The 13078-nt window shown below is 34.0% G+C and overlaps 1 protein-coding gene across 41 annotated transcripts in view; it reads left to right on the forward strand.

Annotated features, from left to right (window-relative positions):
- Positions 1-10540, forward strand: part of ROBO2 (roundabout guidance receptor 2) — a 1743290-nt gene extending 1732750 nt beyond the window's left edge. For 17 of the 41 annotated variants that reach the window (NM_001378195.1, NM_001378200.1, XM_047448673.1 and 14 more), the window contains 2 exons: positions 5280-5480; positions 6630-10540. In NM_001378195.1, coding sequence (NP_001365124.1) covers positions 5280-5480; positions 6630-6631 — 203 coding nt within the window. In that variant the 3' untranslated portion in view covers positions 6632-10540. Of the gene's footprint in view, positions 1-3246; positions 3520-5279; positions 5481-6629 lie in introns of all 41 variants that reach the window. The other 24 variants (NM_001378191.1, NM_001378190.1, XM_011533983.2 and 21 more) reach the window with 3 other exon arrangements.

The raw sequence follows: 13078 nt of genomic DNA on the forward strand, positions 1-13078 counted from the left end.
GTATAGGTGTAGGGAGGAAGTATTTTTAAGTAGAGTGACTGGGGAAGTCCTCACCAGGAAGTCAGCATTTCAGAAAAGACTGGAATAACATAAGCAAAAAAGTAATGCTGATATCTGAGGAAAGGTTATTCCAGGAAATGAGAATGGCAAGTGAAGCTTGAGACTTATTTGATAAAAAGGAAAGGGAACGATATGACTGGAGCAGAGAGAGAAACAAGATAGAGTACGAAGTCAGGCAAGCAAACAAGGGCTAGTGTTTGTGAGACCTTTAAGCTACCATAATGACATTGGCTCTTACTTTGAATGGTAAACCACTGGACGGGGTGTGTATATGTGTGCATGCATGTGTGTGTGTGTAAGGCAGGGAAGTGACATGATCTTATTTGTATATTTTTTAAAAAGTCATTCTATTCTAGCTGCTGTGTTGAGATGTACTAAATGAGGCAAGGTGGAGATTGTGGAAGCTACCTAGGGAATAGATGACGGTGGTTCATACCAAAGGAGAATCAATGGCAGTGTTAACAAAGGTTGGATTTTGGAGGTAGAGCTAACGGGAGTTGTTATGAAATTAACATAGGCCATAAAGAAAGCAAACCACATTACTCTGAAATTTTGGCTAACTTGTAGAATGTAACTGTGACCAACTGAGAGAAGAAACACTGCAGAGGAAGCATTTTTTTTTTTTTTTTTTTTTTTTTTTTTTTTGAGACGGAGTCTCGCTCTATCCGCCAGGCTGGAGTACAGTGGGGCGATCTCGGCTCACTGCAAGATCCGCCTCCCGGGTTCACGCCATTCTCCTGCCTCAGCCTCCCGAGTAGCTGGGACTAAAGGCGCCCGCCACCACACTCGGGTAATTGTTTTTGTATTTTTAGTAGAGACGGGGTTTCACTGTGTTAGCCAGGATGGTCTCGATCTCTTGACCTCGTGATCCGCCCGCCTTGGCCTCCCAAAGTGCTGCGATTTACAGGCGTGAGCCACTGCGCCCGGCCGCATATTTTATATAGGATGATCTAGAGCTGAGTTCTCATACATGAAATTTGAGAAGCTTTCTGAACACCTAAGTGGAACTGTCCAGTGTAGCTCTGGTTACATGAGTCTGGAGTTCATGGGAGGAAAGATCCAAGCTGGAGATTTTTAATTACTTTGTGCCTTCATTTTCTTGTCTAAAAACAGAAGGTAATAATGGCACCTATCTCATTGGACTGTTGTGTGCCTGAAAAGAGCTAATCCTCGGTAGGCCAGTAAGAGACTTTATAGTGAATTGATTTAGTGGAAATGAATCAACATAGAAATGAATAATAAATTTAATTTAAGTAAATGTATTTGATTACATACTTTTATTTTTCAAAAAACCATTCTTAATCCCATGTCTTTTTCCAATTAGTTTATTTCAGTGTGCATGTAATGTCCTTTCTTAAAATATACAAACTCCAAGGATATTACTTATGAAGCTATATAATTTTAGGTTAAATTAAATAATAATCAGAATTTTAGCTGCATAAGCAGATGCCGTTTTGGCCATTTTAAAAATTAAGCTGCTCTGATGCAGAATAAAAATCAATGACAAGATAAGTTATTTTGGAAGAAAATACAATAATTTCTCCTCACTGGCAGTCTAAGTTCAATCAATCAAATGAAATAATTAATTTGCATTTATAATAACATATAGTGAAGGAAGTCAGTACTATCGAATATAAAGGAAACACCAAACTCATTGGATTATCCAACAAACAGATATCTCAATATTGGATTAGCTCTTCATTTTGGAAAAATATTCCAAATGCAACTTTATCCTCCGAAACAGAGACCCTGTTCCCTTCAGTTATTAGCAATTCATAATTTAACATGAGGACATACGTAAGAACTGGCAATGCTGCTCCAACTTAGGAACTCAGAGGAGATGCTCCAGAGACCAACATTATCAGTCCAATGCAGATTAGTATCACTTTGCTCATAAAAGAGAGTATAAAGGTTCTTGAAGTTTTTGAAAGGAGCGGCTTAGCTGACTGTTAAGGAAGCTATCTTTTGTCTACAAGAAATTTATACTTTTTCCTTCTAAATTTCACAAACAGAATATTATTAGAGACAACAGAATACATTTACAAAAATGGCATCAGAAATAATTGAATACATTGTGTACAATATCTTCTATTAATGAAATAAATGTATATTTTATATGATATTTGGTCTTTATGAAAAAATAATATAATTACCAATATTCTAAGGATGAACAAAGAAGTTTACAATAGCATGCAAGAAAAATGAGAAGAAAATGATACAAATTGATGTTCAGAAGATTTCAAAATCTTCAGCAAAGTAATTTCAGAACTAATACATACTTAAAAGAGAAAGAAAGAACTGTGATTTCACAGTCGAAGGCATACAAAATATAAAGGTATTATGATCTGAAGAGTTAATAAAAGAGAGATGAAAAGGGAGTTGATATTGGAACCTTAAATTTTTTCCTATCTGATATTTACTTTAAAGAGCTTTTCTGAAAAATTATCTCTTCTACTCTATCTCAAATTTCTGTGAGGCATTGTCTTCTCTAGCACCATAAAACACATTCAGTCTTTACTCTGAACATTGGTTATTACTTATTAAAATTAATACATCGGAAGATTGTAATATATTAGTTGTAACTCATTAGCTAACTCATGAAACGAACAGCCAGAATTGGTTGTCAAGCAGAATATTAATTGCATTTAATAAATGTTAGTTTAATGTTGTTAAATGTGCCACATACATGGGTAAAGGCAGTCATATGTTGCATATGACACGGCATACAGTTCTAAATTTCCCGAGGGTGACATTCCCTTTGGAGATTGGCAGGAGAGCTTTTGTTCTTGGGGCCTTTTGTTAGTACAGCTTCAGGAATTTCTAGTGATCTTATTTTGTGTCATGGTATTTCTACTTTGGGGAAGGAGGGTTGGACAATGGATGGAATATAAACAATGAACTGCCCTTTACACCTTGAATGATAGCCTCAATATGTAACTGAAAACACTTTCCACATTTAACTGTTGAATAAAACTAGTCAATTTTGTTTCAATGATGCTATGGCCAAAAGACAGCAGAGAGAGCAATAATATGAGCTTTGGAAATAAATAATTGACTTTTATTTTCCCCAAATTTTTTTTGTATGGGTAATACCTGTATAAGGGCAAAGATTTTCTTCAACTTGAACTAAAACCTGTATTTTTCATTAAATTTTAGTCCATTCTAAACATTATTCAAAATTTTTAGATCTTCCACCACCACCAGATCCCCCGCCAGGTCAGGGTTTAAGGCAGCAAATAGGCCCGAGCCAGCAGGCTGGTAACGTGGAAAACTCAGCAGAGAGAAAAGGAAGCTCTCTAGAGAGACAACATGCATCCAGCTTAGAAGACACAAAGAGCTCATTGGATTGTCCAGCTAGAACCTCCCTAGAGTGGCAGCGACAAACCCAGGAATGGATAAGCTCCACAGAACGACAAGAAGATATACGGAAAGCCCCACACAAACAAGGTGTCGGATCAGGTGTGTTCTGCACAGTCCCAAGAAAGTGTGGACTGTTACCATTTCTTTTCCTACCAGGTATTCTAGAAATGGCAGTTGTTTAAGGGCATCTGAAAAACATTTGCCTTCAATCGTAATGGAATTTGGAATTCCTTAGGAGATTTTACCAGTACATGCCTTAAGGCTGATTCCAACGGGCATTGCTCCTCAGTCAGCCTCTCCACAGGGTCTTTGATCCCAAGAGACTTCCAGGCTTCATCTAAACGGCTCAGTAGAAAATTTTATTTTTTGGCCTATTAATGTTTATATTGAGTACTTTAAAGATCGCTAAATTTAATCTTTTCTGTCAGTTTAATCTCTGCCTTCAGCAAGTTTGTTCATTTTGGCTGAAATAACCAGTCATTCGAAAGGAGAACTCACATCAAATATGTGAATTCATTAAAATTACAAAGTTGCAGAAAAATGCCCAATCACAGATCCTCAAATTAGATAAGGTTATACTGGGCTTGCACTTTCTCCAACTGTTAATCAGTTGATTGATTTAGTTGGTTGTTAATCTGTCTATGGGAAATGCTCTTTTTTATAAATCAAGCTTCCTGGAAATGTCACAGAAATAAATTTCATTGTTTGTAGTTAGATTTTTTTGGGGGGAGAGGTGTGGCGCGGGAGGTGGGGAGCCTGCTTTATAAACGCATTTTCTGAGACATCTCATGTCAGGATTCATTGAGTACTGAAACACACACATACACATACACACAATCTTTGAAAAAATGTCTTTTCACTTATTCATTTGGACTTAATGTGTTGTAGATAGGCCTCTCCATGCATTTCCCATAACTACATTTTGTCACAACTTGGTGCTCAAGTTTTTGGAAAATGTCATTTGTGCAAGGGCCAGTAGATGACAATTTTAATATCTAGGTTTAGTGAAACATTTAGAAAGGTTACACCATTCAGGCTGTGAGAGAAAAATCATGTGGTTCTTGTCATTGAAGACTATGTAAGGGGAGAAATAGTAAATTCAGTGAGCATTAATCACAAAATAATAGCCCATACATAGAAAGAACGTGAAAGACAGAGGGGATGGGGTGTGGAGAGGGAGCAATGAGAATAGAGAGGGAAAGAAAAAACAATTTTTGAACTATTGAGTGATTATTTGTAACATATGTCATGAGTTATTTGTAGAGAGACAATCTGTAAAAAAAAAAAATTAGCATATTATTTATTTAAATGTGTGAGTTTCTCTTTTACTTTTAAGGAAATACATAGCCCTTTAAATAATGTATTTCTGTCTCAAAAAGCAACATAAATTTTAAAAGCTTATTTAACTAATATATAGTTCTTTATCTAAATCAATTGAGAAAATGTTGCCATAATTTAAGCTGAAACAAAAAACATGTTTCTTTAATCTTAATGGGAAAATTAAATTGGAGCCTCATTGAACTTTAGAAATTATTCTCAGATATGCTTTTGTTAAACTGTAGTTCATTGTATGCAGCTCTCTTTTATAATGAATTTAAATTTTGCAAATAATATATAACATTGTGTACTTATCCCAAGATCTCTTTTAATTTAATTCTGCTTTGGTTCCTATTGTAGGAAATGTTGCTTGCACATAGAAATTTCTTTAATATCCGGTCCTGATTAAACTTCATAATTTTAATTTTATTAAAGAATGAAATGGTAAAGTAGGCCATTCACAGTGTTATATTCAAGAGTTAAGTTTAGTTTGCCTCCATGTTTCTGTTCAATTTAGCCTTTGGGTTTTTTTTCTTTTTCAGAGGAGGCCTTGGTGCCCTATAGCAAGCCCAGTTTCCCATCTCCAGGTGGCCACAGCTCATCAGGAACAGCTTCTTCTAAGGGATCCACTGGACCTAGGAAAACCGAGGTGTTGAGAGCAGGCCACCAGCGCAATGCCAGCGACCTTCTTGACATAGGATATATGGGCTCCAACAGTCAAGGACAGTTTACAGGTGAATTATGTAAGTGCTTAGGTCATTTAAAAGGCTATCGTGATTCAGAAAGAATCTTGGGTTAATAACATTGCCACATTAAACAAATTTCAGATTAATAGAAAACTTGCTCTGTTACAAAAACAATCAATTGCAATTTTCAACAAGTTTGGTCATAACTTAGGCCATTGCTATATTTATTGAAGTCCATTTTTATAAATGTTTCTGCTATTTCACGTTGGATTTATGCTATAAAAATTGTTTTAAGTTAGGCAAGTAGTCTTAACACTTATACATGAAATTAAATATAGAGTGTTTATCATTTTCTTTGCCTTTTTAACTGAACACAATAAAGAAATGGAGACACTGGCCTTTTGGTAGTTTTAAAGAAACTCCTAAGGAATGCTTCATTTTCAAGTTACTCTATATTTATTTTTTAAATTTGGGTAGTCACCCTTGAAGAGTTGATCTTTGATTGTTAATTAAATTGTAATGTTTTGACTACAATAACATTTTATAAATAAATTTCCATTTATGAATGAAAACTGGCATAGGTAGTTAGTACAATTAATTTTCTAAATGTAAAATACTAGGTAATAGGGAAAATTAAGAATGTCACAGCAAAAAATGTTGAACTCCTTGTGTTAATTTCCTCAGGAAAGTTACCAATACAGCTTTGCATTATCAGAAACATATTTGCTGAATATTTTTAACTGCCTCATCAGAAAAATAGCATTACCATTATCTTCACATCACAGATTGTTTGGAAGATTCTGTGAGATGATGAAAAGAGAAATAATTTCAAAATTATAAATTTCTTTATTGATCTCAGTTGTCATTGTTGTTGACTATTGCTAATCTATTATTAAGATTCATTTATAATTTTAATTTGATTCATAACTACTTGAATTTTTCTTTAACTTTTTTTTGAAGTAATGACAGACTCACAGGAGTACCAAAATAGTTCTACTGGGTGTTTACATTTCCAAATTCTATAGTGTTTTCTTTCCTTTTACTCTTTGATCATCTCCTTCAAGTAAAATTACTTAAATTCACAAACTCATCTATCTGAAGACCTTATTTTCATTGATTATCTGTTGGCTTTGCTTTTTGTTATGCTGGTCAGAAAAGCAGAATGCTTAATTTATATTTTATTTCTACTTTTTTCTCTTTCTTTAGAGTAAATGAGAGGAGACATACAAAGCTGCTCTGAAGGACCATCAGGTCCGGACTCATGGAAGTGATGACTCTAAACAGTGCAATGAACAATTTATTTATGTACTATTAAAAGAACTGTAAATGCAATGTAAAGACACACAGCCACACATATCCCACAGATATTTTCATTGTGTTCTTCTCTTAAGTACACCACCCACCTTAACTCTTTCTTGTCAGGAGTATATAAAAAAGAAAGAAAACAAAACTCGCCCTACAGGAAGAAAAGGATTCTCCTCTGTATATAATTTCTTTTGTGCATTGCTATGCAAGCTCACTCTTTTTAGCTCTGCTCATATTATTGTCTGTTCTTATTGGTCTGTTGTACTATATGTGAATTAATAGGCTGTGGTGCCATATATTAACTTTTAATTGTGTAACTTTTATGTTTAAATTTTGCACTGCAATTTTATTTGGTGATAAGCACAAATCTCTACTCCTCATGACATGAAGAAAAAGACTGAATGTGAAGGGAGTTTCTGTACTGTAAGCTAGATTGGATAATGATGGCTGTAACAAATCATGTTAGATGGTTTTCAGTTGGGGTGTAGAAATAGGAAGATGCAAAGGAACAATGGTGTTGGCAAAGTCTTCTTTGAATATCAGGGACTGAGTCAATAAAAAAAATAGTAGAAAGGTGGCTTTTACTATTGACAAAAGCCGGGGTCAAAAAAAGTAGTTTAAGTCTTAAGACTGAATATGCATTAAAGTATGCAGGTAGCAAAGATGTAATAAATTTGCTTAAAAAAAGAAATTAAAGTTTTATTTAGAATCAATTTTACCTGTCATTGTAATTGACCCATCTGAGAATTACAATAAGCAAGAGGAAATTAAGGTGTTTTGCAAGAGCTGTATTTATATTACAGTTTTTTAAAAACATTTTCTGAATTATCGTAATTAAGCTCTCCAACTCGTTAAGTCAGAATATAATATGAAGTTCCCCAAGGAAACGAACAAAATGAACTCTAGAATATCTAGCAAATAGTTAAAGAAGCAATTTATTATTAGGGCATACTCGGGCTGTTTCCAAATATAAACTCTATTGCAATATCTTATTTCATCTTTCTAATACATGTACAGTGCACACTAGAGGATAGAGCTGCATCACTTAAATTCATGACTTAAAAAATAATACAGTTTATATACAACTTGTTTTTTATTTGATTAAGAAGTGAAGTTTACGCCACCCAATGTATAGCCAAATTGTACGTGCTTAAAAAACAGTGCCGAGAGTATGTTCAGTTCGCAGTAAGTAGATTTATTGGAATAAATATTCTATGGTACATTCTCAGAAATTGGCTTCCAACTAAAATACGTTTGACCCATTTTGAATAAGGAAATTGAAAAGAAAAATTTAAAAGGAGAAAAAAATGCATGTTTATAAACTTTTTAAATAAAACCAGACCTTGTAAGTGGACATTAATAATTGTCCTGCCTCATTTGTTTTCACGACTTTGACAACAAGAAGTTCCTGAACATTAGTCATGTATGCTCAGAATAAATGTGACTTTGAAATATATGTTAGCTACTGTACATGTATAGTCAGTCAAGTAGAAGAGGACCTTCCTGAAATTCCCACTTGTGACATTTTCCCATGGGTTTCCTACACAATCTTAAATTTTATTTCTGTCTATACTTTCTCAAATTTTTCCTATGATAAGTTCAGTTGTTGGTACTCTTCTAAAAATATTCAACGTGATTAGGATCAGTTCTAAAATACGGGACCCCTTTGAGTGACAATTCGCACTCCATGCATTATTGGCTCAGTAGCCAATTTTTGTCACGTCGTTATAACAAGGAGATGACATAATTAAACATTTCCATCCTTTCTATTCCCTGAGACTGCATCAGCACAGGCAAGTATAGAATGTAATGTTCTTCATGGGCCCCACCAGCTTTTTGGTGCCATGTAATTTATTTCTTCGCTGAAGAGAAAAAGAATTCTGAGACACAGTTATTAAACCCTTTATCAACTTTCTACCATCAGTGCCTGAATTCTAATGCAGTGTGATTTCTCTGGGACAAAGAGACTGAGGAAGATGAAAAGTTTCTTCAAAGAGTGAATACATACTTATTCACAACTCTAGGATGTGAGGACTTTAAATATCTCTTTATGAAGTTCCCTGCCTAACCTCTTTCTATTTAAAGGCAAACAAATTTCGAAGAGGTTTTGTGTTCCCTCTTTATGTTTCTCTATGACCCAGTTTAGTCTAAAACCTTAGTTCATTACATATACAACACATAGCCTTTGATCCCTGGTAACTGGCAGGTGTTGGTGATTAATAAACCAAGGCTTCAAAGTGAAGTATGTGTGTGCAGATGACTTTTGGAATAACGTGGGCATAGCATCATACCTTCCTGATTGTCTTCAGCATATAAAAATTAACTGTTGTAGTTAAAATTATGTCAGTGCAGAGCTTGTGGTTACTTGGAATGTTCTTTCAGAATAGTCCATGTTGCCTATTAAACCTAGTTTTAAACACATTGGGCAGTCAATTTATGCACCCAAAATATCACCCTCAGGTAGATTGAGGGCAAGATAAAATGCTGTATGTAGCTATACAAAGGAATTCAGAAACATTACTGGAAAGCAAAGCCTTTGTCAGCTTGCTACTGACAAAGTAGTAAAAAGCTACTAATCAGTGTTGAGTCAGATGTCAACAGAAAAATACAAATACCTATGAGAGCCACAGCAGTTTCTCGTTTCATAGCCGATTCAATGAATATGATTAGAAATTCACTGAGCTCACTCTTGCAGGTTTAAATGGAGGCCTGCATAAGGACTGCAAGAGGAAATCTGGGTGGGAGAGAATGTAATCTGATCTTGCACTCATAGGCAATGCTGCAATGCAATCATGTCCAATACAAGCACAGCTTCATTCATAACAGGAAACGTCTTCTTTGGGAAAATAGCTCTATTGGTGCCCAAACTCAGGTATGCCAGTGTATGCAGGTGGAGTCGCCCTACCCCTCTTCCAAACATGTCCTGTGAGATTTTTAAAATAAGATGGGATAGTACAGGGGCATGAAAAGAATTGATTCCTTCACAGGATTTGAATCCAGTTCAAGGGAGAATGTAGAAAATTCAAAACCAACATATAAGGTATCACACAACCAAGAAAAGTAAAACCATTGCAAGTTTACTTGCGTTGAGTACAAAACAGATTTAATGGTGTTCTATGTCATAGTTTAATGCTCTGGGTATTTAAATATGTTTTCAACAGGATTTGAGTTGAAAGTTTGTAATGTGCTTTGATGGAACACCTCTCAATTTCTATTCAATAAACTTATGTAATTGTCCATTGACAATATAATGATAACAGTACCATTGAACTCTAAACTGTGGTTTATCTTCACTACTGGGAAGCAACTGTGCATCAGTATTAAAGATATGCAGAAACATAATATTCACTAATTTGTTCATCTGCTTCTGTATATTGTTTATGGAATTACATGGCAAGAACTGTTCTAAAGCAACATGTCTTTCCACATTATTTTAGAGGTGAAATTACTTTTGTTTTGCTTCTCTATAATGTGTACTTCAAATGAAACACCATACTTTTTTCTAAAAAAAGATGTTCAATTTACTAATTTTTTTAAATCTCATAATTTAAAAAGCATTTGTTGTGATTTTAAAGTGTTGCAAGAAAAGGGATTTTGTGGCCGTGGGTAGACTTTTTATACTTTGTTTTATAGATGGATTTTTTTTAACTGTAGTTTGTTTAAGTCACCAAGCAGCATCCAAAATCTTAATGTGTTTCATTTGATGTTGTTAGATCAGAGAAGAAATTGGCATAAAATCGGTTAATAGTATTGTCAAAGAATTGTGTATTGTGTACTCACTGGGAAAAAATAAAATATATTCACATTTCAAATTTGTAGAAAAGCCATTTATGTAAAACAAACCTGTTTGTAGACATGCTAAAAAAAGACCAGGTAGCCACTTTTAGAACTCTGCATTAATATTTTGTGACTAAATGCATAATCTCAGTTTTCTCACTCAGTTATGGTTTGAATAGTGATAAATAGGAACTGGTGTTGACTTTTAGTAGTGACTAACAGACGCTGATAAAGAATACAGCAAGCATTTGAAATACAGACCCCATTCTATCAGCACTGCTACTTTCCCCATACCATGAAGACCTTTAGATAGATTTAAAACAAATATCTTATTTTTGAAAGTATAAGTAAATATGAAAATTGAGAGAAAATGAATTTTTCTCAATTGCTTTAGAAGAAATAATTATGAATTTCTTTTATTTTGGATGTTTTTATACTGGATGTTGAAAAGTTATCTCAGGGACTGAGTAGAAAAGAAAAATGCCCCATTTTATTATATTTCATAAATATTGCATTCTTTTTCACTGCTAAGTACAACTATAGGCTCAATTTTTTTTTCCAAAAATAAAGAGAGGCAGTTTCTGTATTCTTTAAAATAATAATACTAGTGACAGAAAAAAGGAAAAAGATTATGGTTAAATCCTGAGACACTCATTGAAAAATATTTTTAAAAATACAAGGTTTAGGACAACACATTTTAGAGTTTCATTTAATTTATATTAATAAGGTGAGAATAAAATAATATTACTGTAATGACAAATGATGTTGCATTAATATAATACAGTGACAAAATATAATATATATGATTAAAGACAAAGTATGTCAATATGATAAATGGTAGGACAATTACAAAAACAACTGTTCCTTTATGGAATTTGTGTATAAAATGGCAAAAGTGTAAAATTATCAGAAAGGTTTATTAAAGTAATACACCACACTCTCTTGATTACTGTGTACATTAGCTGGAGAAAAGATATATTAATGTTGCACAAAGGCATTTGAACAAGAAATTATATTTAATGTCCTCCATTTTTTAAAATGTGATTTTATCTCTTCCACAGAGGAGAGAAGCAGAGTTCACACTAAACTTCATTTCATAGGAAAGATGTGAAATAAAACTGTACAATAATACAAAACCAAGTTTTAAAAGTTCAAAACAATACTCCAGTAGAAAAGCTAGCAGGGAGGAGAAAAGAATCTGTTATTTCCAAAAGTTTGTAAAGACTCTTTTTACTTCGATGAATTTAGTGTGGTGTCAGTTTTGGCCTTCAGCTTCTTAGGCACAGAGAAAGAATCTGACATGTAGGAGTGTGCAAAACTGTCAAGAATCCCAAAGACAGACGCAAGACAATTATCCAGCTGTGTGTTTAATATGAAGAACTACAAAGGTGACTAGTCTTTGCATTTTCCAGTCATAACATTTTCTCCTTGTGGTAGTCGAGCTATAAGAAAAAAAAAAAAAAAAAAAAAGGCTGGGCGCTGTGGCTCACGCCTGTAATCCCAGCACTTTGACAGGATGAGACGGGTGGATCGATTAAGCCCAGGAGTTTGAGATCAGCCTGGGCAACGTGGCAAAGCCCTGTCTTACAAAAAAAAAAAAATGCAAAAACTGGCCAGGCATGGTGGCACACATCTGTAGTTCTACCTACTAGGGAGGCTGAGGCAAAAGGATCACTTGGACCCGGGAGGTCCAGGTTGCAGTGAGCAGTAATTGTGCCACTGCACTTCAGCCTGGGTGACAGAGTGAGACCTTGTCTCAAATAAATAAATACATACATACGTATATACATACATACATACATACATAGAAAAAGAAAAAAGAGAAATACATGTATATTTCCAAGATATCTGATTATCTATTACCAAAATATTATCAAGTTTATATATGTATGTATTGCAGATATCTTAGTAATCAAGGAAAGCTACATTTGTGAGTCACATAGAATGACCTTTTGGCTTACGTCAATATTCATAATAGGAAATTTGCAGGCCACTACAGTGTTCTAAAACCATAGCACCATAACACCCTTCGCCTATAAAAGACCTTGATGGATATAACCTCTGGGTCATAGACAACATTTTTTGGACAAATTTTAGAAAATGTTTTTCTAGACAACACTTTGGAATAATTTGTTTCTAACAAATCTGGGTTTTTGTTTATTTATTCATTTCCTTTGCAAGCAAGTTTTGAGACACTGTGCTAAGAATTAAATATTCAGATTAGTAAAAACAGCAATAACCTTTGCCTTCATAAATAAATAATATCTTCTGTTAATTATTTCCCTGATTTTTTGCCTAGAAATTTTTGATGAATGTTTTGAAGCTAAGAGGAAAGAGCCAATAAGCAAGGTCTTCAAATAAATTTCCAAGCCGTAAAATTTGTATTAGCTTCATTCAAATCCTCCATACCCATCATAAAATCTAGTCTTTCTCAAAAATAGTCTACAGGATTTTAATAGTATTTTTAAAATGAATAAGACAATAATGGAATTGAAGTTCCATAGTTGAATATATGAAGACATTTCTTTACTACTTGAATCCTTTACAAATCTGTTCAAATCTTATATGACATA

The sequence above is a fragment of the Homo sapiens genome, chromosome 3, assembly GCF_000001405.40.
Source record: "Homo sapiens chromosome 3, GRCh38.p14 Primary Assembly".
Lineage (NCBI taxonomy): Eukaryota > Metazoa > Chordata > Mammalia > Primates > Hominidae > Homo > Homo sapiens.